This window comes from Homo sapiens, chromosome 6 (genome assembly GCF_000001405.40).
Source record: "Homo sapiens chromosome 6, GRCh38.p14 Primary Assembly".
Lineage (NCBI taxonomy): Eukaryota > Metazoa > Chordata > Mammalia > Primates > Hominidae > Homo > Homo sapiens.
The window spans coordinates 11,984,711-12,010,929 of record NC_000006.12 but is presented as its reverse complement, the minus strand read 5'-3'; the positions used below and the strand labels follow the sequence as shown (position 1 = coordinate 12,010,929).

General features: G+C 39.2%; 1 protein-coding gene and 1 long non-coding RNA gene across 9 annotated transcripts in view, besides 2 other annotated features; one reads left to right on the top strand and one right to left on the bottom strand.

Annotated features, from left to right (window-relative positions):
- Positions 1–3,237, bottom strand: part of HIVEP1 (HIVEP zinc finger 1) — a 204,356-nt gene extending 201,119 nt beyond the window's left edge. For 4 of the 8 annotated variants that reach the window (XR_007059258.1, XM_047418701.1, XM_047418699.1 and 1 more), the window contains exons 1-2: positions 2,941–3,237; positions 2,273–2,651 (exon numbers count right to left, since the gene is read on the bottom strand). The gene's annotated coding sequence lies outside the window, so the exon portion shown is untranslated. Of the gene's footprint in view, positions 1–2,054; positions 2,170–2,272; positions 2,652–2,940 lie in introns of those variants that run through there. The other 4 variants (XR_007059259.1, XM_047418697.1, XM_011514548.3 and 1 more) reach the window with 2 other exon arrangements.
- Positions 23–567: an enhancer, noted in NCBI's record as "H3K27ac hESC enhancer chr6:12010596-12011140 (GRCh37/hg19 assembly coordinates)". NCBI's record gives its function as "activates a minimal SCP1, AML or CMV promoter by ChIP-STARR-seq in naive H9 embryonic stem cells {active_cell/tissue: H9 hESC(naive)}" and the evidence as "EXISTENCE:reporter gene assay evidence [ECO:0000049][PMID:30033119]".
- Positions 1,641–1,760: a silencer, noted in NCBI's record as "silent region_16919". NCBI's record gives its function as "represses an Ori minimal core promoter by ATAC-STARR-seq in GM12878 lymphoblastoid cells {active_cell/tissue: GM12878}" and the evidence as "EXISTENCE:reporter gene assay evidence [ECO:0000049][PMID:35858748]".
- Positions 3,238–9,685: 6,448 nt separating the features above from the next.
- Positions 9,686–20,587, top strand: LOC101928253 (uncharacterized). The gene is made up of 3 exons (NR_125853.1): positions 9,686–9,768; positions 18,892–19,015; positions 20,410–20,587. It is a non-coding gene; the product is annotated as an uncharacterized LOC101928253 (long non-coding RNA).
- The last annotated feature ends 5,632 nt before the right edge of the window (positions 20,588–26,219 follow it).

Below are 26,219 nucleotides of genomic sequence, written 5' to 3'. Positions count from 1 at the left end.
GCGGGGCTGGTCGTCGGACCGGGCTCCAGGGAAGAGGGGAGAGCGTGAAAGGGGAAGAGGGAGTAATTAGCATGAACCAAGGTGTGACCCCGGCTGCTAGAAAGCAGTAGAGAAAGCAAGGAGTGGAAATCCATGGCAAAGCAGTGAAGAGGGGCTGGACCAGGGTAACGAAGGTTTTCAGGGTTAGACCTAAAGAACGTTCGCAGTTTGGGGCACAGAAATTCCACAGGTCCACCTCAAGAAGCAAAAGTGGCTGGTTTAACGGGCCACCTCAAACTTGAGAGGAATAAGGTGAAACAAAATTGATGCAAAAAAAAAAAAATCCCTGATGAAACTAAACTGGTTTCCCCTTTTAAGGAATAAAAATGCTAAACGACCATACAACCACTAAGACAGCTGGCCATCTGTGCAAACTTGAATTGTTTTGTTCCCTTGGGCTTCCATAACGACGTCTAGGTTTTTCCTGCTGGAGTTGACCCCTAAAATTCCCCTGAGGAAATCGTACCTCTGGCTCATTTGAGCTAAGAAAAGCTCAAACCACCAGAATGGGAATGATTAAAAATGGAATACTCAGTAATGGCGAGTGTGTAGCCAAAAATAATATCATGTAAAGGGAGAAATATGCCTACTACAAAGTAAATTTGGTTATAAAAGCAAAGATCATCCAACTGTGTACATGTACAATTATGTCTAGCATACTAATGCTAACCCTACGATGAAATAATGCAATTTTTATTTTCATTGTGCTATAACCATCTCTCATTTGTGAAATGAAATGATATCCAATAGGTTGCAATCACCAAAAAAGTATATAATGTAACTTCCCAACTGGGTTATTTGAATCCAAAAGTAAACATGCATTTAACTGTGAACGTATAGCTATTAATCTGTCAGGAGAAAGGTAATGTGATAATGAGTGAAGTTTGTATCACTTTGGAAGTGAAAAATGCTAACTGAATGAATAACGTTTAACCCAATAATTGTTGAGCACAACATACTGTCAACACAATGTTTATGTAGGATTCAGCATTACTACGAACTTTCTAACAAAACATACATGCAATTTCGAATTACGATAGGTAAATTTTGACATTTCAACTATTTCCTTGAGCAGCAAACCGATATTAAACTTTTATTTGAAATATATACAATACAGAATAGTTTCCTAGTAAGTTTTTGAATTTTCTAAATGCAGTTTCTTTTCCTAATTCTGCCTACAATTCTTCCCAGATATCAGGATGCAGGGAAACCTGGCTATACTATAAAGTAGCTTCTTTAGGCTTGTTTTGTGGCAAATCCAATATATTTTCTCAAAATGTATCAAATAAACACAGCGTGGGAAAAAAATGAAGCAGAGGGTGAATGTGGAGGATGAATGTGAATGGTAAACTGCAGTTTCAACTGTCAAAAATCCTGGGACAATGCAGGAGCAAGTGACCATTCTCTGCCCCCAAAAAAGAGGGGGCTCCTGGAGGTCCATTTCTCTATGGTTCCATCCCCACCGTCCGCGTGAACGCTTCTGGAGCCCCCCTTGGGGAAAGTGGGGTTCGAGGGAGGATAGTGTCACTGAAAAGCTCAACACACGTTTTTCTTGGCGAACAGTTTGGAGAGGGCACAAAGTCCACCCCGGAGCCGCGTCCACTGGGCCCCGCGCCACCCTGCCCGCCCCCGCCGCTGCGTCCACGGCTCGGGTTCCCACGCGGCCGCCCGGCCGGGCCCGGCTCAGGCACCCCCCTGGCGCGGCCCCGCGGCCCCGGCCCTCCGCCCAGCGCGCGGCCCGGCAGCGCCGCCGCCGCCGCCGCCGCCGCCACCGCCACGCGGAGATCCCGGAGGTTCCTCCCCGCCGGCCGCCGGGTCACGCCGCTCGTCCCTCCCCTCGGCCCTCCGCCCTCCGCCCTCCGCGCGCGCTGGGCTTTCCCATCCACCGGCCGAATCCCCTCCTCCTCTGGGCAACCCGGCGACAAAACCTTCCCCGCACGCCCTGCCAACTCTGCCCCACGCCCAGGCTCTTCCCAAGCCAGGCGCCAGACAAAAGAACCGAGAGAAAAACTTACCCGAACTGCAACACAAAAGTCTGATCCAAAGCTTCCTGGGTTTAACTTTTAATTTTAAAAACAAAAAAGCAGAAACCAAAAGCCTCCTAGGTTGGAAGTGGGCGTGAGAGGAAATGCTAGAGGGAGGCGCTTCATTCCCCGGGCTGCCTGTGCCCCCCTTTCTGGCCCCTGCCCGGGGCTTTGATGTTATCTAGTGCACCGCCTCCATCGGTTTCTACCTTGGGCTCTGCGCCGCCGAGAAGATAGACAGATCTTCCGCACTTCACTTGCAGGTTCTGAGAGAGGCAAGCAGGTAGTCGCGGGAAAGGACCCACACTCCTTAGCCCCGCAGTGAGAGAGGAACATTTGCACGGGCTTCCTGTTGCTACCTGGACTGAAATGAACAATCCACCCCTCTAGTGATCCTGGAGACTTGCACCGTATGGTCTTTCCTGCTAGACGCACAGCGGGAGGCCTCCTACATTAGATTCATTTTCCCTCCACCCGTAGCACAAACTTGTAAGATGGTGGTGGAGTATGTTTCCTGAGGCTTTGTTCGGGTTTTAGATCTCAGTTTGGAAGGTAAATATTATTTCCCTTCTGAGACAGTCCTGCAGCCTTGAAAAGACAAGAATAAAAATCTAAAGGCAACAAATTCTATAACATGCTTTCCATACACCATAAATTCCCTTATGGGTCAAAATATCCGCACACTTTCCCCTCACGTTATGAAAAGCTTGTAACTGTTGATTTTCTTTTGTCTGGACACTAGCAGACACTGGATATAGTTTTTCATTAGGTTAGCAGTCTCGGGACCATCACTAACAAAACACTACAACAAAGAATTTTTTTTTTTTTAACAGATTACTAATAAAGAAGGACGGCAGTGTCTAGCAATCAGCCTTACCTGTGCCTCCACTTTACACCAACAGAAGCTTGTGTTCAGGCCTTGCCCTCTGGAAGATTACAAATTAATGGAGACAGGATAAACACATGGAAAAATACCTAGAGGGAAAAAAAGATATAAGAGGCTTATAAACAGAGCCAATTAAAGTTATACAGTTATTTACATGATCGCTGAGAGGCTTCTGCTTGAGTAGAGGACGGGGTGAGCAGAGTCCCATCCTGGGGGTGAGTTCTCAGTGGGATATTGAAGGAGAGAAAGTTCACGATTTGGCAGTGGTGGAAGTACAGCATTCTAGAGGAGGGAAATAACTTGAAGGTGAGAGCAAGTGAACTGTGTGTGATGGTTTTTCCACCGAGAGCAGAAAGTCTAAGCAAATGGGAAACAAGTAACACCCATGCCAGGACACTTGAGAGTGAAAGGGAAGGTATTAATAATTATACTCAGGGCCGGGCGCAGTGGCTCACGCTTGTAATCCCAGCACTGTGGGAGGCCGAGGGGGGCGGATCACAAGGTCAGGAGATCGAGACCATCCTGGCTAACACAGTGAAACCCTGTCTCTACTAAAAATAGAAAAATTAATTGGGCGTGGTGACGGGCGCCTGTATTCCCAGCTATTCGGGGGGCTGAGGCAGGAGAATGGCGTGAACCAGGGAGGCGGAGCTTGCAGTGAGCCAAGATCACGCCACTGCACTCCAGCCTGGGCCACAGAGCGAGACTCCGTCTCAAAAAAAAAATCATGCTCAGATGAGAGATGTACACCTGGATTGCCCCGGGGCCATTGGGAAGGGTGGGTTCTCTCGTAATGAGCTAGGAAGACAGAATGGGCAGGCAACAGGCAACCAGAGAAGAGCCTACTCAGTCATCATTTGGAAGGAATTAAGACATGATATTACAAACAGTTGGTAGCTATTTGGAGACATCTGGCCTGAGAATGGTCTTTTTAAGGAAAGTTATTGTTACTGATGGATTTAGGATCGATATGGAGGCTGGTTACAAAAACTGCAGTAACATTAGCAGTTGTAATAATGGTAGTGGTAGTGATTAACAGCTATTGAGCGCTTACGACTTGCCGGGTTTTCCTATATAAACTCATTTAGTCCCCGCCATAAACCCACACTGTAGATGAAGAAACAGAGGCTTAGAAATGCTACATAGTCTTCCGGAAGCTACAGAGCTGGTAAATGATAGAACTATGATGGGGATCCAGAAAATATTCAGATGCTCAAAGTTTAAAGATTATATTTTGTGAAAACCAGATTTCAATAACTTTATAATATTCTACATCAATGGAGAGAATAAGAAAAGGGAATTTTTTAAAGTTTTTCAAATTTCGATGTGTCATGAAAATGATGGGCATCCTGGCATGGTGTGAGGCTTAAGGAAAAGAAGAGAAAATGTGTTTGATTTTAACCATGTCTTGTTTTTAGAAGGATGATTTAATTCACATTTACGCCAGTACTGATACTGTTACCTGTAGGAGACGTGCTATTAGAGCAAACCACATCTCATTGAAAAGCCTCTCTTTCAATGGCAAGTAACGACAGTTTAATGGATATTATTTGGTGTACTATCTGTGAAGAGGGGAAAGAAAACTAGATGTGATTGATACCTGCAGTTCCTGAAAGAATTCCTCATAAGCTATGTCCACAAGTGGCATACTGAGGAACCCTAGAGGAAGAATAGCATTCAATGAAAATGACCCAACCTCATCTGTGATCTAACAAGGTGGTATTTTTGTTCCAGTGGGCCCTGAGTTAATACAGTGTCCCACAGTTCTAGAGGCTGGGAGTTCAAGATCAAGGCATCAGCAGGGTTGGCTTTCTCCGAGGCCTGTCTTCTTGGCTTGTAGACTGCCACCTTCTCTCTGTGTCCTCACATGGCCTTTCCCAGGTGTAGTGCTTATACAGAGAGAGGGAGCACTGGCTCTTTGGTGTCTCTTCTTTTAAGGTCGCTAATCCCATTAGATCAGTACCCCACCCTTATTACCTAATTTAACCTTAATTACCTCCTAAAGACTCTATCTCCAGATACAGTAACATTGGGGGTTAGGGCTTCAACATATCAATTGGGATGCTGGGGGGACAATTCAGTTCATAGCAGATACCAAGAGTATATTTACATAGAATTGTAGATAGAGTTAATGCCGGCCTAGGAAAGGGGCTTGTCAGTTGCTTGAGGAGGAGCCGAAAGACTTCATTCTAGACTTTCTTATTTCCATGAAGAATTACTCCTAAATAACTCTTAAAACATTGTTGTGTAAATACTCTTTCACATTTCTAGTAAAATGGTTCTCAAACCTCCTGTGGAAAGCCGTCTTGGTGCACACCTTTAGTGTGTTATAAATAAAGTGATTTTGTCGATTGCCAAAGGATTTAAGGGTTTTATTTTCCCCATTGTAATCACAATCTGAACACATGTAAATTAAACATGATATGTCCTATCTCAAGTGTGGATACCCCCTCCCCTATCCCATAGTCTCTGCCTCATCATCATTCATTAATTTCCTTTATAACATCGCACAGTCTACAATTATCTTATTGGTTTCCATGTTTATTATCTCTCAACCCTCTACTAGACTATGAGGGCCATGAGTGAAGTGGCAATGCTTTGTTCCTCTCTGTCTCCCCAGCACCTAGAACAGTGTTGAAATAAATGTGTGTTGAATGAATGTTGTAGTCTGAGGCCTGCTCACCTTCCAGTTTAGTTGCTAAGCCTTTCATATCAACTTAATTGCTTTCTTGCTTTTGCATTTTTCTTTAAACATCCTTTTTAAATGTTCTGGACTCAAAATTATTATATATAACACAGTTAAAGGGGATCTGCTCATTTTATAGACTGGGAAGCCAATATAAGGAGTCAGATGAATTAAATGACAGCATAACCAGCTGGTTCCTGGCAGAGCTTGACTGGAGAGCTCCCAGTCCATCCTCCCTCTTCCCTTCTTTCTGCTCCCAAATCCTTCCTCTTTTATGCCTTTCCTGATTCTTACCAGAAACTCCATTGCCTTTTGCTTGCTCTTAATCTTCATTCCTAGATTTTTTTAAAAAGTTTCTTTTCTGCTGTAGTTTTGATAGAGGTTCCATGGCTTAAACATGTAGTATGGATGGAAGGAAAGAAGGGAGGGAGGGAAGGAGAGAGGGAAAAAAGGAATATATGTGTATAAAATTAAGAAAACGCCAGGCACAATGGCTCATGCCTGTAATCCCAGCACTTTGGGAGGCTAAGAGGGGCCGATTGCTTGAGCCAGGAGTTTGAGACCAGCCTGGGCAACATGGGGTAACCCTGTCTCTACAAAAAATACAAAAATTAGCCAGGCATGGTGGTGTGCACCTGTAGTTCCAGCTGCTCAGGAGTCTGAGTTGGGAGGATCCCTTGAGTCTGGGAGATCAAGGTTGCAATGAGCAGTGATCGCACTACTGCACTCCAGCCTAGGCTACAGAGTGAAACCCTCCCTCCAAAAAAAATAAAAAATTAAATAAAAAATTAAGAAAAAATATGGCAGAGTAAGCGTTCAAAAAAGTGATTTATAAGAAAAGCTATGAAACATGTACTTCTGGCTTATTCAATCCACATTCCTTACCTTTTCTTTTTGAGTTGCTATAACTTTTTATTTAAAGAGGGTTAAGAATCAGGCATATTTTCAGTGACTAACAGAGAACTACTTAGTAATATTCTTCTGCCCTAGAGAGAATTCACCAGTTCCAGAGTCTCCTACTAATAAAGAGTACATATGATGCACATACAAAGAGGCAACATTGTGACTAAAAGCATGGGCTTAAGAGCCAGCAAGCCTGGGTTGAAGCCCAGATCTGCCAGCTGCATAATTTGGGGCCATTTTTTTGACCTTCCTGTGCCTCCATTTTCTGATCTGTAAAGTAAATGTAATTGGAGTCTTCACAGAATAGCTGTGAATATTAGATGAATTGGTGTTTTGAAAGTGCTGAAGACAGTGCCTGTCACATAGTTACAACGATCTCTCAGTGTTGACCAATGCTTTATTACATGTTTCGCACTAGACTAAGTGTGCTTTACGTGTGTTATGTTTTAAACCTTGAAATAAGTCTCTGGAGACTTATCCAGAAAGGACCTGACAACCAAATCTAACATGATCCTTGATGGGATCCTGGAATAGAGAGAAGACATTAATGGCAAAACTGTTGACATCCAGATAAAGTCTGCAGTGTAGTTAACAGTAATGTCAAAATGTCAATTTCTTATTTTTGATAAATGTATCCTGGTAATGTAAGATGTTAACAATGAAGTAAACAGTAAGGGCATATGTACAGAGCTCTCTACTACAATCTTTATAAATTTTCTGTAAAGCTAGAATTATTCCAAAATAAAGTTTATTTTAAAAAATAATAATAATAGCCTGCTGCTACAGACACAGTTACCCATGTTTTAGTGATTAAGGAGCTCAGGCTTAGGTTAAGTACCAAGCCAAAGGTACAACTAGACCTGGCCTCACAGGGACCCTCACTGTCTGCAGAGAAGACCACATCCTAAATCCCTAGGCTACCCCACCGCCCAGTAAGCCTCAGATTTCTTTTATATTCTCATTCATGGCAGGCTGGGATCTGGAAAAGCAGGTGTGATCTAAACACAGTTATGAAACAAACAGTGTTTTTCTTTAAGCTCCCTTTCTCTTCTTTGCGATTTAATTCCCACCCTGATGGTCTGTCTACTATAACCCGATTTCGGGTTTTAAAAAAATTATATATGTACATATGAAAAAATACATGCACACATCTCTGTATATATTCACCTTTCCATAGTTTCAATTACCCACCATTAACCATGGTCCTAAAATATTACAGTATTTTAAGAGAGAGAGACCATATTCATATATAACTTTTATTACAGTATATTACAATTGTTCTAGTGTTAGTTATTGCTAATTTATAACTGTGCCTAATTTTTAAATTAAACTTAATCATAACTATGTATGTATAGAAAAAAGCAGTATATATGGGCCGGGCACAGTGGCTCATGCCTGTAATCCCAGCACTTTGGGAGGCCAAGGCAGGCAGATCCCCTGAGGTCAGGAGTTCAAGACCAGCCTGGTCAACATGGTGAAACCCCGTCTCTATTTAGCCCGGTGCAGTGGTGTGCGCCTGTAATCCCAGCTACTCGGGAGGCTGAGGCAGGAGAATCGCTTGAACCCGGGAGGCGGAGGTTGCGTTGAACCGAGATAGCGCCACTGCACTCCAGCCTGGGCAATAGAGTGAGACTTTGTCTCAAAAAAAAAAATAAATAAATAAATGAAAGGAAAGAAAATAAAAAGAAATAAAAAAACAGTTTATATATATATAGGTTTCAGTAATATCTGAGGTTTCAGGCATCCACTGGGTGTCTTGAAACATATTTTATAAATGAAGCTTGAAACTATTTTATATATATATATATATATATATATATATACTGAAACTACTTTGTGTATATATATATATATACACATACACACACATATATGCAGACACCTGTATTATATATTTATATATGTACATATATTTTAATAAGGGCTGTATTTATATGTCTATATTTATGGGATTTCAGCATCAGCAGTTGGGTATACTGGGCACATGGACCAGACTACAGGACAGTATTCCACACAATCCTAAAGCATTTCAAATTTCCCATCTAAATCATTGATTACAAGTAACCTTTCCTTCTTGTTAATAAACTGCCAACACCACAACTTCACCACCACTAGCTTTACAAGTACCTCTTTTTTTGCAAACACATCTCAATTCCCAATATCTACCTCCTACATTAACATCTGTTTCCCCAAACCTTACCAGATCTCAAACTCACCAGCTTCTGACTCTGTAAGTATGTTGCCAACATAAGAAGCTTTCTCCAGATGCCTGTTCATGGGATCAAATTTTGCAGATGAATTGTTTCTGGTAAACAACACTTAAACCACTCATTTTTCCCTTCCCTAAACTTTCTGCTATACCATTCCGTACTATTTTGTTTTTGAAAGCACACGATTAAATTTACAGTTTTGAATGTATTGGCATCTCCTTTTCATGGCAGTTCCTATTGTACCAAAATGTCTGTGGACATCAATACAAAGGAACCCACGAGTCTAGAGTCAAAGTCCAACTTGGGAAAAGTTGGAGAAAGGGCAATTGATAAAATGGACTTTCTGGAAGCTAAGGAAAATGAAAGGGACATGATTTCACAAGTGAGAGAGATGAGCCAGAGAACGGAAGATAAGAGTAAGCCGCTAATAACAGGATGACAATAGCCTATGGTGAGCTTTAACATGTTCTAAGCGCTTTTTAAATTTCAGCTGTTTTAATTTCTGCAAAAGGAGGTAGAGCTTGATTTATGGTAGATGATTGAAAATGGAACTAGCATTATAATAAGGCATCTAAATAAGGGTATCTGTGTGTGTGCATATGTGTGTGTGTGTGTGTGTGTGTAGTGCATATCAGCTAGCCAGATGGCTGTCTAACCTAAAGACAGTGTAGATGTTACTTGTAAGATTTTTTTTTGCTACTAATGGGTTATGCACATGAGGTTTGGTAATTATAAAAAATATTGATGCAAGCAGGAAATCTTGGCACGGCGGCAGTGTGTAGTTCTCAGAGCAGGAGTAACAGGACACACACATTTGTCTTCGGCTTGCTACTCACACAACTGTCGTTTCCAACTGTTGTGGAACCTTCTGGTTGCAAAATTCCATCCCTCACATAGTAACAAGAGAGTCAAAACAGTCCCTCCCTCCAGAGCTTTGATCACACAACAGTTTTGTAACCATGTTCTCTCAGAAAGTTCCATAGTCCACCCATCTGGAACAAAATAGTGATTTCCAGAAAGGTAAATCAGACATTCTCTCACAGGAGTTTTCTGCTATTTTTATTATTCTAAAAGCATAGTTTTCTATTGCCTCAGGTTTGATTTGGGGGAGCAGGATGGCTATCCTATGAATGTTCTTCAAAAATATTTTTCTACTGTCTTAATAACCATTCCTTTTGGTATCTAGTCTGAGCAACTGATTATCTTGTATCCATTTTCATACAATTAAAACAAATTCACACAATTTAAAATTGAAAACTCTAATGTTATTTCTTATTAAGAAAGCTCCTAATTTCTTAGTAAGGGGGAAAAAAAGACTTGTCCCAAACCAACTATTATTCAAAAAAGTTTCCAAACATAAGTTGTTTTATGACAGTGACCCATGATTCATATTCCCCAAAGGCCAAACTGCCATTCTGCAATAAATTACAACAAAACATTTTGTTTCTGTATTCACAAATGCAAAGAAAGCCAGAATAATATTGGGCAGTACTTAAATGAGAAATTCTGGGATGCTGAGGAAATAATAGCAGGTGTCAAATAATACGGATTTCTTGCTACTAAAATCTCCTTGAAGCATGCTTGATTTTTCCTGGAAACCTAAATCAATGGTAATTTTGAGAAGTCATCATGCAATATTGACCAGTTCTATAGCATATAAGTCAAAGAAATGGTTCTTCTAAGTTACACTGAAGGTCCTGAAAACAAAGAAATATTAATGTTTCTTACCACTGCCAAATTCCATCTCAAATACATTGCTAATTAGCAACCTAAGTTTAATGTGCTGAAGTACCAAATGACATTTGACAGTGTCCCCATCTGTAAAATGGGGTGATAATAACCTACTCCTTAGGGATACTTTGCAAAAGAGCAATGAGTGCTTTTTAAGTAATCTGGAAGAATCTGCTTCTGTGAGTATCTAAATAGCTCCTTTCCTTTATATCTTTCTACTATGTGTAATGTCTCCTTTATCTTATTCTTCTATGTCTCTTCATTATATCCTCCTTTTGTTTTTTACTGATTAGTAATTGGATTTCTTTTTAAGCAAGCATTTATTTACATACTCATAACTACTCGCCATTCTACTCTATTTTCTTTTTTCTTCTTTGCTTTTTAATTTGAAGAGAATGACTTATGTTAAACCCAGGACAAGATTTTTCTAGATGCCATGAAGATGGTGACTTGGATATCTACCCTTCTAAATTCACTTACAATTACTTCTATTAATATTAATAGTTCCAATGGCTTTGATTTCACTGGATGAAAACTACTACACACTCTCTTTTTCCTCTAGTTTATATTGCCCTGACTACCTGGCTTCTTGAATATAGATGATCTAACTGATTAAAATCAGAATTATCTCTTTACAACCATCCATAACCTACAATTCTGACATCATTTCCCCAAAACATTTTTATAATCCCTCTGTTTTTGCCTTAACCAAGGCCTTCCTATTTTCTCAACTCTAACTCATTGCTTTATTTCATTTAGAAAATGTGGGATTTTTATTATTATGACCATAAAATGTAGAGGTCCAATGTGACATATTTTCAAACTTTTCCTCACTCTTCTTTGAAAAAATTGCTGAAGGTGAAAAGCAAGTACATCTCGTATTACATTTCATAAAAACTGCTCAACAGATTCTTCCAGTGTTGCCAATATTAACATCTAAGAGTGTCTGGGGAGAGAATGCAGTTGTCTACCATGACATCAACTTGGAAAAGATAGGGCTAGAGTCCAAACATTCCTAGCTTCTCTGAATCAGGCACACCACCCTAATTATCTCCTAAAAGGAATGCTGTCATCATGTAACTCCCTCACTGAAGAAACCGAGTCGCTTCCCTCTAACTACAAGATACACATTCCCTAGCTGGTCTTTAAACCTCGATATGGTGGAAGCGATCACCTCAAAACATTATGTTTACTTACTTCCCTAAACAAAGCCTTCACTCCAGCTAAATGGGTCCACTCACTGTTCTTGCAGTAAGTTTGGTGCTTCCTTTCTACATACTTCTGTTTCAGTCAACATCGTTGCACAGAATGCTTGCTTTCCTCCTCTTTGCTCATCCAAATGCTCTAAGCCATTCTCTCAAAGATCTAGGTGAATTGTACCTTTTCTAGGGGCACTTCATGAAGTGATCCACAAGACTCATGTAAAATTCGCAGACTGGGCGTGGTGGCTTGGGCATGTAATCCCGGCACTTTGGGAAGCCAAGGTGAGTGGATTGCTTGAGCCCAGGAGTTGGAGACCAGCCTGGGCAACATGGTGAAACCTCATCTCTACAAAAAATACAAAAATTAGCCAGAGGTATCTGTAGTCCCAGCTACCCGGGAGGCTGAGGTGAAAAAAATCACCTGAGCCCAGGGAGGTCAAGGCTGCAGTGAGCTGTGATCACGCCACTGCACTCCAGCCTGGGTGACAGAGTGAGACCCTGTCTCAAAAAAATAAAAAATAAAATAAAATTGTCATACTCCCAATTAGTTAATCAATTATGCCTGTCCCTTTAAGTGCTATCGTTTCACTTTTTCTAGGTTTCCATTTTCTGATCTAAACTGTTTAGAACACACAATTCTATCTTATACATACAGCCTTTCCTTCCCTTAAGTCTCCCTTATTCATTAATTAATAATCAACTCTACATGTTATCCATGAACCGTCCTTCCAGGCAAATGAGATCCATAGTCTATTGATTATTGTATCTAGGGTTTTTAAAATGTGTTTGTTTGTTTTGTTCCTGTTGAGAAATATAGATAAGTGGTACCTTCTACTGCTAACATTGACACCTCATTGGGTTTTACTTCCTACCTGCAAAGTGTCTGCGTTAGACTAGCTCACTAAAGTCCACTCTAGGTTAAAGAATTGTGGTTTGGTTGGTTCTACTTCAAAGATTGGTGAATATTTTCATCAAATACTTTGAGGATATAAAAGGTAATCACGAACTTCACCTTTTTAGATTTTAGTTGCCTTTTCAGTTGTCTCTTGACCTCCAAACTTCTTAAAAGTTTAATCTGTAATAGCCCCCATTCTCTCTGCATCAACGTAATGCCCTTTCCTCTGACGCAGTAGTAATGTCTTTCAAGCTTCCACTACATCGGAAATGTCATAGGTCAACCACATCGAACGTTTGTCTAACTCTTCATTTTCCAAAATGCTTTCACATGACTTTGTGTGTTATGGTGGATTTTTAGCTCCACTCCTGGCTATGTGTTATGTCTCTCTTGCACTTCTCTCTTCTTTTATCCTCATGTCAATTTATCCTGCCTTAACATATTGACATATCCTTGAGAGCTACCCGATACCCTTTAGACAACAGGTGAAGTATTTGCAAAAACTATTCCTGATTTTACTGAGGAAATTGATGTTCCTAGGAGATGTCCTAGGACTTGTCCAGATCTCCACACCCATTACATGACAAAGACAGGATTTAACTCAATTTTTTCTGACTTCAAATTTACTACATTTCCATAAAATCATGGCTTGCTTCTGCAGTAAGTGGTCTGTTTCTTCCTTTCTAATTTAGTGGTTAATGGATAAAACTCAGGCCTTTATTTTTCATTTCTTCCTAACTGACCCGACACCTCGCATGCTTCCAACCTGTCCTAAACTCAGCTGTCAAAATTAGAGCCATCATGATCTTCTCCTCAAATATTTTCCTATTTACTTACAGTCTAAATTCTAAATTTAACATGGAATTCAAAGCCCTCTGTTATCAACCTCTAACTATCTTTACAATCTTACCCATCCATTTATGGGGCAAATGTTTACTGAGTATCGTTATATGCCAGGCAATGTTCTAGTATTGGGAATGGTGAACAAGGCACACAAGATGCCTGCTCTCTTGGAGTTAACATTCTTATTCTTTGTTCTTCATTATAATTAAAGAATTGCAACCATCCAGTCATGCTGAGACACTTCCTATTTTCATAGTTTTTCTCATGTTGGTCCCAGCTATCTGGTCTACCTCCTCCTTCAAGCCTCAATTCAAATTTCCATATTCAACAAGCAGACTTCTAGATCTTTTTTCTTTTATACTGTCATATGTATGTACTGTCCTTTCTGTCTGCCCTAGTTCTTTTTTATTTATTCATATAAACACATCAAACATATTTTAAATATATGTCATATTCACTTGCAAGCAACATAAGGAAGAAAATCATGGTGTATTCCTTTCATATTTACCTTTCTCATGGAACTTTGCATGTGATAATCATTCAATAAATGTTTATTCACACAACCCTATGAATGAATTAACAAATAGAAAGGTATAATCATCATCAGATAAGTTATCACCTTGGCCGTATCACCTAAAATGACTCATCCAAAGATTTTAGGAGTGTATCTTTTCATCTCAATGCTTTCTTTTGTTTTTCATTTACATCAATGTATAATATTTCATCAGAGTTTAAAGAGTCAGATTGTTTTATGGCATGCTAAGAAAAAAAGCTGTTTCTTGCCATCTCTGCTGTCACTGTTTCCCACTCCCTAGACAAAAATATTTTCAACTCTTTTACCAATTGTTTAATACTTACATTTGCATCTCTAAATAAAATGTAACTTTTGACTTTTCAATTTTAGACTATCTATTGCCTTCTCACTCTGAAATGTGGAGCTTTAGCTCTCTTTTTGTGCTGCGCCCTCTGTCCCTGAGCACACACAGTTACATTGCTGTCCCCTCTGTGCCCCACGTAGATTAGAGTTTTGGTTGGGTCAACAGTCGGTGTTTAGAGGTACATTATCACTGAGACTAAGAACACTATTCACAACGAAGCCATACGATACACTGCGATTATTTTTCCCTTTTTGTGCTTCCATAAAGAACATCATTGCTTAGTTTGTGTATTTGCTTGGCTTTCTGTGTACAGTCATACACTGCACAATGACATTTCAGGCAACAACAGACAACGTATACGACAGTGGTCCCATCAGATTACAATGAAGCTGAACAATTCCTACCACCTAATGAGGTCTTGATGATCACGCGTGTGTGCAGGCCAAGGCCAATGTCTGTGTTTATGTCTTAGTTTTTACCAAAAAAGTTTAAAGAGTAAAAAATAAAAATAGAAAAAAGTTTATAGAATAGAATATAAAGAAAGAAAATATTTTGTACAGCTGTACAATGTATTTGTATTTTAAGCTAAGTGTTACTCCAAAAGAGTCAAAAAGTTAAAAAAAATTAAAACGTTTATAAAGTTAAAAAGTTACAGTAAGCTAAGGTTAATTTATTACTGTGGAAAGAAAATTTTTAAAAATAAATTTAGTGTAGCCTAAGTGTCCAGTGTTTATAAAGGTCTGAAGTAGGGTACAGTGATGTCCTAGGCCTTCACGGTCACTCACCATCATTCACTGACTCACCCAGAGCAACTTCCAGTCCAGTGAGCTCCATTCATGGGAAGTGCTCTATCTAAGTGTATCATTTTTAAAACTTTTTATATCGGCCAGGCGCGGTGGCTCACGCCTGTAATCCCAGCACTTTGGGAGGCGGAGGTAAGCGGATCACGAGGTCAGGAGATGGAGACCATCCTGGCTAACATGGTGAAACCCCGTCTCTACTAAAACTACAAAAAATTAGCCGGGCGTGGTGGCTCACGCCTGTAATCCCAGCTACTCAGGAGGCTGAGGCAAAAGAATCGCTTGAACCTGGGAGGCAGAGGTTGCAGTGAGCCGAGATCGCATCACTGCACCCCAGCCTGGGCGACAGAGCAAGACTCCATCTTAAAAAAAAACCCAAAAAAACCCAAAAAAATCCAAAAAACCCTTTTATACCATATTCTTACTGCACCTTTTGTATGATTAGATATGTTTAGATACACAAATACTTACCCTTGTGTTCCAGTTGCCTACAGTATTCAGTACAATGACATGCTGTCCAGGTTTGTAGCCTAGGAGTCATAGGCTGTCACATACAGTCTAGGTGTGTAGTAGGCTCTACCAAGTATACTCTACGATGTCAGCAGAACAAAATGGCCTAATGACACATTTCTCAAAATGTATCCTTGTCATTAAAAAACACATGACTGTACTTAGTAATTCAACCTAAGATGGGTAAATGTCATCTCAACACATTCAAAATAACCTAATATAGTATTAATTGGGTCCTATCCAATAAGTCTCACCCAGAGCTTTCTGACCTGTATTCTGAGTCATACCCTAGGCCTGACTCAGCAGTTTTATGGGATCCCTTTCACCATCATCCTTGGGGTTGACTTCTCCCATTCCTCAAGTGGGTCACGATTTCCCGGATCCCATGCCTTCCTTCTTTCTGAGTTTATTCCTGCATTTTGGGTGGTCCCATACTCCGGGGCTTCCTAAGAAAGATCCACAGCAAACAAAAAATTTTGAGGTCTTGGAAATCTGAGAATGTCTTTATTCTACCTTCCTGCCTAATTTCTAGATTGGCTGGATAGAGAATTCTAGAATAAAATGAATTTTTCCACATAATTTCGAAGGCATTAAATTCATTCTCTTCTAGCTTCCAGCATTTCTACTATGAGATGTCAAGCCACTCTGAATCTTGATTCTTCTTATAAAATCTCTTCTTTCTAGAGGCTGATAATATATTCTTTTCATCCCAGAGTTTCAAAAATTTCCCAATGATGTGTCTTAATGCTGGAGTGCAGTTGCACGATCTTGGGTCACTGCAAGCTCTGCCTCCCGGGTTCATGCCATTCTCCTGCCTCAGCCTTCCGAGTAGCTGGGACTACAGGCGCCTGCCACTAAGCCCAGTTAATTTTTTTTTTTTTTGTATTTTTTTTTAAACAGATGGGATTTCACCGTGTTGGCCAGGATAGTCTCCATCTCCTGACCTTGCGATCCGCCCACCTCGGCCTTCCAGGTGGGCGGCCTTGATGCTGGTTTTTAAATTATTTCTAGTGCTGGATCTGTGTGGTTTATTTTGATCTAAAAACTCATGTTCTTTCATTTGGGCGAAATAGTTTTGCATTGTTTCACTGATGATTTCCTATTCTCTATTTCTTGAGTTCTTTCTTTGTGGAACTCCTATCATATAGACGTTGCACCTGCTGGACATGTCCTGCATTTTTTTCTTATCTTTTATCCCTTATTTTTTATTTTTGCTCTGCTTTTAGAAGATTTCCTCTAATTTATCTTCCAACTCTTCTATTGATTTTTTTACTTCCACAATTCTATTTTTAATTATTTTAAAGTTCTTATTCCTCAAAACATTATTTTTCTAAAATAGCATGCTTTTCTTGTTTTTTACATGCAATATATTATCTGAATGTATTAAGGATCATTTTCAAATGTTATCCTCCCCTCCTGCTTCTGTTTTCTCCCATTGCTTTTTTCCCTGATTGTTTGTTTCCGTGTCTCTCATATTAGAATCCTATCCTAGTAATCCTTGTGTGGCTACTCCTACCAGGCAGGGGTGCACTAAAAGCCGATCGGAGGCCAGGTGCGGTGGCTCACGCCTGTAATCCCAGCACTATGGGAGGCCAAGGTGGGTAGATTACCTGGGGTCAGGAGTTTGAGACCAGCCTGACCAATGGTGAAACCCCATCCCTACTAAAACTACAAAAATTAGCCGGGTGTGGGGGCACACACCTATAGTCCCAGCTACTTCGGAGACTGAGACAGGAGAATTGCTTGGATCCGAGAGACGGAGGTTGCAGTGAGCTGAGATCGCACCACTGCACTTCAGCCTGGGCAACAGAGCAGACTGGGTCTCAAAAAAAAAAAATGCCGATTGGAGGAGGAGTGTGTGACTAGTTATTGACCAGGGACTTCACTGTATCATGGCCTGCCTTTGCTCTTCCTAGTGGAGCCCTCATTGGCAGTATTTTCAGATCTTTTCTATTGCGCTTGTCAAATGCCCTGGAGAAGACTTCTAGTTGTCTGCCTAGGGCATATGTGTCTGTGTATGCGTGTGTATGCACTCACAAGAGTGTGTGTACTTAGCAAACGGTATTCCAGCCTAGAAAAGGTTAAGAAATATGAAGGGTTTTTGCATTTAGTGTGTAAGCTCAACTCCCCTCTTTTTAGTTCGAACCCTCTGTGTGTCTGTCTGCAGGAAATTAATCTCTTAGATCTTCTGCTAAGATGGTTAGTTACCTGTTGCATGAAGTGGGGAGGAGATGAGAAGGTCCAGCTGCTTCTTCAGCAACTCTCCTTGCAACAGAACTTCCAGAGATATTTGAGGATGCCCATTGTTGGATCTGTATTTGAAATTAAAAACAAAACAAAACAAAAAAAATCAGTCTGCTTCTCAGCTCTCTCTGCAGTTGGCTGAGAATCCAACTTTCTCAGATCTTCTCCCAGCTTCCAAATTTCTGTTGCTGTTGTCTCCATTCTTGTTTATTTTATCTTTGTAAGCTATGCCTTTAAAAAAAATTATTGTTATTTGAACTGTAGCATTGAGCTAAATGTTAATGGCTAATCTGCCATCTTTAATTAAATATCCCAGAGTATCTATTTGCAGTGGAAAAAATACCTGGGTTATTGTTTAATAATAAGTTATTTTTGAATGTGAGCTTTCATAAAAACAGAACTTTAAGAAAAATGTAATTGTTCTTGTAATTCCTATTTTGTCTGGGAGAAAAAATGATTGCTAGGCAGTTACCATCAATGACCAAAAATTTAAGAAAAACAAATAATGTTTAAAATTTTTTAAAAGCAAAAGAAAAACATTTTTCTTAATGTTAATTTTTTTATTGTTAAAAAACATAGCTTCATTCTTGTTTTATTTAATCTGTATCCTGTTAAAATGGCCATTCTGAATCTATGGCCTTTCAGAAGGCTGACATTGCTATTCTAAAATATACCTGTGCCTCTGAGGTTCCTGTAGGTTAGTTTTTGCTGCTCAGAAAACTGCCATTACCAGCACTGAATTTCAATGACTTCCTGCAGGAAAACACCTGGAGGCAATTACCTGTACTTGTCTGCAGCGGACGCAAATAAGCTTTAGGATAGGAAAACTATGTCTGACTTTTAAAAAATGAATCTACCTCCTTTGTGTAATGTTTTACTTGTGTCAGAATAAAATGCTAGCTTATCCAGTCCAGGAATTTATCCATTAACCAATTACATGTTGGTCAATCCACTTTTTCAGCACAGAATTTCCAAACATTAGTGATTTTCTATTATCCTTACCCATCTTTTGATGTCAAAGCTCTTTTGCTGTCTTACAGGATATGGGTCAATGACAGTGTGGGAAGAAACAAGAAAAATCAATAACCTACATTTTAATGTGAAATGACAACATGTTTAACAACAGACTTCCCAGGCATGCTTCAGGAGAGAATGCGAGAACATGTAAAATACATCATATTTTATATTATGTTGATGCATAAGTAATTGTTGTTTTTTCCACTAATGTACATGTGGACTTGGCAATATTTTAATTTAATTTAGATTGATTTAATTAACTAATTTATTTATCTATTAGTTTCTTTTTTAAAGATGGAGTCTTGATCTGTCACCCAGGCTGGAGTATAGTGGTGTGATCACAGCTCACTGCAGCCTTGAGATCTCGGGCTCAAGCGATCCTCCTGCTTCAGCTCCTGAGTAGCGGGACTACAAGCACGTGCCACTATATCTGGCTACTTTTTATTTTTAATTTTTTTGTAGAGGCAGGACCTGGCTACGTGTTCCAGGCTGGTTTCACATCCTGGTCTCAAGTGATCCTCCTGCATAGGCCTCCCAAAGTGTCGGGATTATAGGAGTGAGCCACTGCACCTGGCCAATATTTTATACACCTAGATATAATCTCTGGAGCAAATCTTGGGGATGACTGCTACTTTAGCTAAGCCACGAATGCTCTGCACTTAAATTTAAATGTAGAATTAGGGCCAAGCATGGTGATGCATGTCTGTAATCTCAGCTACTTGGGAGGCTGAGGTGTGAGGATCCCTTGGGTTTAGGAGTTCGAGATCACCTGGGCAGCACGGTGAGACCACTGTCTCATATTAAAAATGAAAAAAAAAAAAGATACATGTAGATTTAAATTGCACTCTTAGAAATATCAGACCATAAAATACTTTTATTTGTACTAAATAATAATGATTTATGGTTTTATAGACTACTGCAGTTAGGGAAGACTATTCAATCATTATGCATGCAAGAAGACCTGTTCTTCTTCAGTGCAAGTTCAAAGTTTCATGTCTTTCTGATTTTATTCTTATTCAGACAAAACTATAGATGATTACCACGCTTTAAAACTTCCTTATTTTCAGTATAACCAAACCATTAGATAAATTTTGATGGAAGTTTCATTTCCTTCCTTCATTCTTCTTTCTGTAATAGCTCGCATTTTTACATTTAGTGAATCATTTTATTTTAAAAATATTCTTATTTTTTCTGCTATTTATAAGTACAGTTTCCTAGAGTCTTTAATTCTTGTTTTATAGACATATCTAACAGTTTTCTTCCTCCTAGTATAGCTTTCAAATTTCTACTGTACACATTACTAATGTATAAAATTTCTGTTTTATTATACAAGGCCTTCTAAGAGCTCCTGTCAAAAATATTGCTGTAAATAAATCCTGTTTTTTATAATTCTAGTGTTATAATTAGCTATTGCATTCCCAAAAACTTGATGTTAAATAAAGCAAGGAATATGACCAACAATATGCTGTAAAAATGAAACTATGACTACAGATTTCTTTAATGACTTAAAATACTATCATATTTTCTTCCAACCTCTACAGAATTTTAGAACCAGAAGGAAACTTAGAGATGATGAGAACTTAACACTGGATTTCACAGGTGAGAAATGGAGACCCTGACTGGAGAACTTTCTTGGGTCACACAACTAGTTATCCACTTTCAGCTTGGTCTTCTTTCAATCTTCATTTGCCTCCTAAATAAAAGATCTGCTGGCTCGGACTCAATGTTTGGCCCAGTGTCTCATGTTGTAATAGCCTCCATCTTCAGTCGGGCACAGTCGCTCACGCCTGTAATCCCAGCACTTTGGGAGGCTGAGGCGGGCAGATCACCTAAGGTCAGGAGTTCAAGACCAGCCTGACCAATGTGGTGAAACCCCGTCTCTACTAAAAATACAAACATTAGCCAGGCGTGGTGGTGCACACCTGTAATCTCAGCTACTTGGGTGGCTGAGGCAGGAGAATCGCTTGAACCTGAGAGGCAGAGGTTGCAGTGAGCCAAGATGGCGTCATTGCACTCCAGCCTGGGCAACAAGAGCAAAACTTCATCCCCTGCCGGCCAAAAACAATAAAATAAAATAAAATAAATAAATAAATGAAATAGGCTCCATCTCCTTCCACCCCTCAGTGGAGTCTCTTCTTATTCAAACTCTGCCTTTCCTTGACGATCAGATGATGCCCCTTGGCTGAAGCATTGCCTGATCTCACTCTCCTCAGAATTCCTGTGAAATTTTATTCACACTTTCAGTGGTTAAGTGGTTAAATACAAATTCTAATCTTTTGCCATTTATAAAGCACCTAAAACATCATGATGTATTATGTGTAAAAATGTAAAAATGAGTAAAATATGCCAGGTGAAACTTAATTTAAGGAATGCTGGTTGGCAAGAAAAAAGGAAGTACTGATAAATGCTACAAGGTGGACATATTTCAAAAATATTGTGCTCAGTGAAAGAAGCCAAGCATACATGTTGTATGAGCTCATTTATATGAAATGTCCAAAGGAAAAAGGCAGATAATAAGAGACAGAAACTGCATTACTCATTGTCTATGGCTGACGATGGAATGGAGAGTGATGGTGTGAAGTTTCTTCTTAGGATGATGGAAATGTTTTAAAATTGGATTCTGTTGATGGTTGCACAACTCCGTAAATATAGTAAAATTTATTAAATTGTACACTTAACACAGTTGAGTTTTATGATATGTAAATTATATCACAACAAAACAGTTTTTGAAAACATCGGTTTAAGATGATAAAGATAAAATGGGACCCAAATAGATTATTCTCTACTGGTATAATAAAACTTTGAAAGTCATAAACTGTTATATGCCAAGTAGCATTGCTTGAAATATACACATTTAAAAATTAGAAAAATTCACCTTCAGAGAAAATTACGGAATTCATATCTATAGCATGATTCCTTTTTTTAAAAAAAAACCTCAATATTCGTTTGTATGTATCTGTTAAAAGACAACATTAAGTTAATACTTCAGGAGGAAAGAACTGGAGGGGGCTGCCTGGGCAAAGATGTTAAAATTTTCTATCATCTCTTATTTAACTTTTACAATGAGCTTATTACTGTAGTAATTAAAATAAAATCCTCATCAACTCAGTCTTTGAGTTGAGCCAAGCAAAACATCAAGCAGGCAGTAACAGAAACATGAATGTGAAAGATCGAATAGTAAAATTAGTACTGATGGTTAATGGACATGAAGAAAAACTTCGTTCCTTGGAGAGACCTACTTTCCTGGCACCTGCAGAATCACTGATTATTTACATCGGTTATGCACATCGGGCCACCAGCTCTGATCTGTCAGAGAGAAGCCCTGAGCCTGTGAGCCAATGCGCTTTCCCTCCAGCTGCATACCAGATAGGGCATGCCTCAAAAAGATGTCCATCCTGCGGGTGCAAAATAAAAATAAAATAAAACGACGGTTTTTATCATTAGTTTCCAACGTTTTTGAGCAGGCGTTTTTGGAGAGGTCCTATGTTTCCAGAACATCCATTTGAGAACATGCGTTGTGGAATGTGCCCCCTCCAAGGCCAGGTCACTCAGCGGCAGTTACAGCTGGGCAGGCGCCTTTAGGAGGTGGGTGAGATGGCTGACTAGTACCATCAGTTCTATCACACGAGTTACCAATATTTTACCGCCCCTCCGTCCCCCACCGGCTTTGAAGCAAAACGGAACAGCCGGGCACGCACAGGGAGGATGTCTGTGCCGCTGTTGTTCTAGGTTTGTCAGCCGGGGCGGCCAGCAAGGAATCCAGGGGCTGACTTGTCCTGCTCCAAGAAGCAAAAGAGCCCACACCATTGCTGACTGTGGTACTGTGAATTTTGTTATCTTCACTGCCTTCCAGAATGGACCTTTTCTTTGAGAGTGGCCTCAATAAATCATAGTGAAGCTAATGTGATGTTGGTTATGAGTTGTTGTTGTTAAGAATTATGCCACTCTTAAGGCTAGTGAGGAAGAACTAGAGATTAAATTCGGAAACCAGGACCCATCCAGAGAACCCATGACAGCCTATTTCAGAGGAAAATTTTTCAGAGAGAAATTGTAATACACTTCCCAAAGCAGAAGTGGTATAGAAAATTTTTTAAGACCACAATGCTATAAATGCAATCAAAGATTTTAAATTGGAAAAAACACTCCAAAACTGTTCTTTCTTCCCCAAATCCAACTATTTGAAAATATCAAGACATCCTCCTAAATAAGACTTAAGTCAAAAAAGGAATCAAATATGCTGTTACGGATTTAAACATTATTAATATATTCAGACATCGGCATAAGGAAAACATTTCTTATCAATATAACAAAAGCTATATTCTGAGAAAGAAAATCATTTTAAGATGTTGGTCAAAGGATACAAAGTTTCAATTGGGCAGGATGAATAAACTTGGGAGGTCTAAGTTTACAAATGCCGTGGCAGCATCAGGAAGTTATCCTATATTGTCTGAAAAGGGAAGGCATGAATAATCTGCTGCTTGTTTAGTATATCATCAAGCATTAACCACAAAAATGGGCAACCAGTAGCCCTCAGGACTGCCCTGCCTATGAAGTAGTCATTATTTTATTCCTTTACTTACTTAATAAACATGCCTTCACTTAAAAAAATAAAAGTTTGCGAGATCTAGTATTGTATAGCATGGTGACTATAGTTAATAAAAGTGTATTGTATATTTAAATATTGCTAAGAGAGTAGATCTTTATTCTCACCACAAAAAATAACTATTGGATATATTCAATAGATTGATTTAAACATTTCACAATGTACTTATATATCAAAACATTACTTACATTGTACACCATAAATATAATATATACAATATGTATTTGTCAATTATACCTTAACCAAAAAAAAAAAAAACCTAGTGTTTAACTCAAGAAGCTGATATCACATGAAAATAAATCTAAGAAAAGGAAGAGGAAATAATTATTAGGTGTAAAAGTGTAATAATAAATTAGAAGGATAGAAAAAGTGATAAATACAAAAGACTATTACTTACACAGTCCAATAAAATTAATAAATATTTACCAAGGGCCGGGGATGGTGGCTCATGCCTGTAATCCCAGCACTTTGGGAGGCAAGGTGGGCGGATCACGAGGTTAAGAGATTGAGACCATCCTGGCCAACATGGAGAAACCCTGTCTCTACTAAAAACACAAAAATTAGCTGGGTGTGGTGGTACATGCCTGTAGTCCCAGCTACTCAGGAGGCTGAGGAAGGAGAATCACTTGAACCCCAGAGGCGGAGGTTGCAGTGAGCCGAGATCACGCCACCGCACTCCGGCCTGGCGACAGAGTGAGACTCCGTCTCAAAAAAAAAAAAAAAAAAAAAATCTACCAAGTTTGATTAAGAAAACCAAAACGAAACCATAAAGACCTAAAATTAGGAACGATAATGTTGAACCACAGATTAAAAGGAAATTTAATAGGAATGTAGAAGACAGTATTCTCTCAGTTTTTTTTTCTGAAATGATGTTGATGTATCCTAAGGGATGATCTATGCCAGAATGGTATGCAAATAAAATATTGGGACACTTATTTTTATGTTGTTATTATTTTAAAAATGGAAAATAATCTGTCCAGATACTGCAACTACTGTTTCACAGTGGACCCCTGCTCAGTTCCTAGGTCAGGCCTGTGTTCTCCTTGGTAGAGGAGGGAAGGGGAGGGTTTCACTATCCTAAGGAGTTGGTGTTTATGCTTTTGGTTCTTTAGTTTGTTGGGACACATATACTTAGCTAAATAGAGTGCAGAATAAATTATTTAAAATAATAGAATGTTTAAAATTAGGCAGGCATGGTGGCACACACCTGTAATCCTAGCTACCTGGGAAGCTGAGGCAGGAGAATTGCTTGAAGCCAGGAGGCAGAGGTTGCAGTGAGCCAAGATCACACCACTGCACTCCAGCCTGGGCCACAGAGCGAGACTCCATCTCAAAAAAAAAAAAAAAAAAAAAAAAAAAAGAATGAAAGAAAGAAAAAGAATGTTTACAATTTCCTGAAATGAGATGAGGAATTATCATGAATACATGAATATATTTTCCATGGAGATTCCCTAGCTGTGTTTTGTCAAACTATTTAAAAGAATGTTTTTCCCCCTGGACAAATGATCTTCAAACTGGGCTAAATAGAGACTCTAAAAAGGTATACAATGTGGGTAGTTTAAAGGTCTCAATATACACGGCACAACTTTGGTATATACTCTTCCCTTCTATAAAGTGGGCTCTCTTTTTCCTTAGCTCATCTTTCAAAGTAAAACTTTTCCCATTTTAAAAAAGAAAGTTGAATTTGTCAGGATGTTGTGGGAAACCATCCACTCCAGAATGTCACTGTTTCTCTTTACAATGCATTCCCTTGGCCCCACAGAGCCTGGCAGACAGAGAGCCTGGAAAGGTTCAGTGAACAGCATCACTGATCATCATGAAAGATTTACCTCTCACCGCTCCGAGATTTTACCATAGTGGTATCTGGCCCCTTAATGTGAGGTGCCGCCAGAGAACCAAACCAAGGGACTTCTGAAAATATTGTTTTCTTGGAGCCTTCCTTTTATAATTAATCCACGGATCAATAAAAGTCCACAAGTTTTCTAGTATTTCACTCTCTTCTACATATTTCTTTTTAAAGATATAGAGGTGTATTGGAAGCAGAGTCTTTTGCCCTTGGTGGATCATCCTGAAACCTGACATTTCCGAGAGGGGAAGGAATGACAGTTATCTTTTACCACCTCTTCTTTTACTTCTCAAAAGGATTGGCAAAAAGTGCATTGCTCTCCAAGGGAGAGTTTGCACCCGCAAAGCAAAGGGAGCATTGGTAAAACACACTGATGCCAAAAATGACTGTCTTTTTTTCTCATTTAAATGTAAGCAGTTTTCTTCAGCTACTTTCAATTCTCCTCCCAAGGATGTGACATTGACTGGGAAGAAAAACATCTTCAAGGAACAAGCAGTGGAGATTGGTGATACCATTTGCTTTAAAAGTAACTGGGGTCCAAATGTTTCAAATGATAGCAATTTTTTTTTTAGATTTGGAATGTATTATTCAATTATTGGTTAACATATATTTTATCAAGTCAGATCTTAAAAATATCTTGTTCATTTTCTAAATTGTTTACATTTTCCACCTATTATTAAATATTTTATGTTATGTAATAGCTGCTAGAATAGTTATTTTTTAGCAGTGTATAGAACCTTTCATTGATTACAGAAAATGTTTGCTAATAATGCAAACAAAATTAAGGAAGCAATTTTTGGATTTGTAAATATGATTTTTAGTTAACTGTTCCAAAAAGCCAAATACCAAAATTCAATACATAAGATGCACACACATATAATAAACATCATGTTTTTATCACA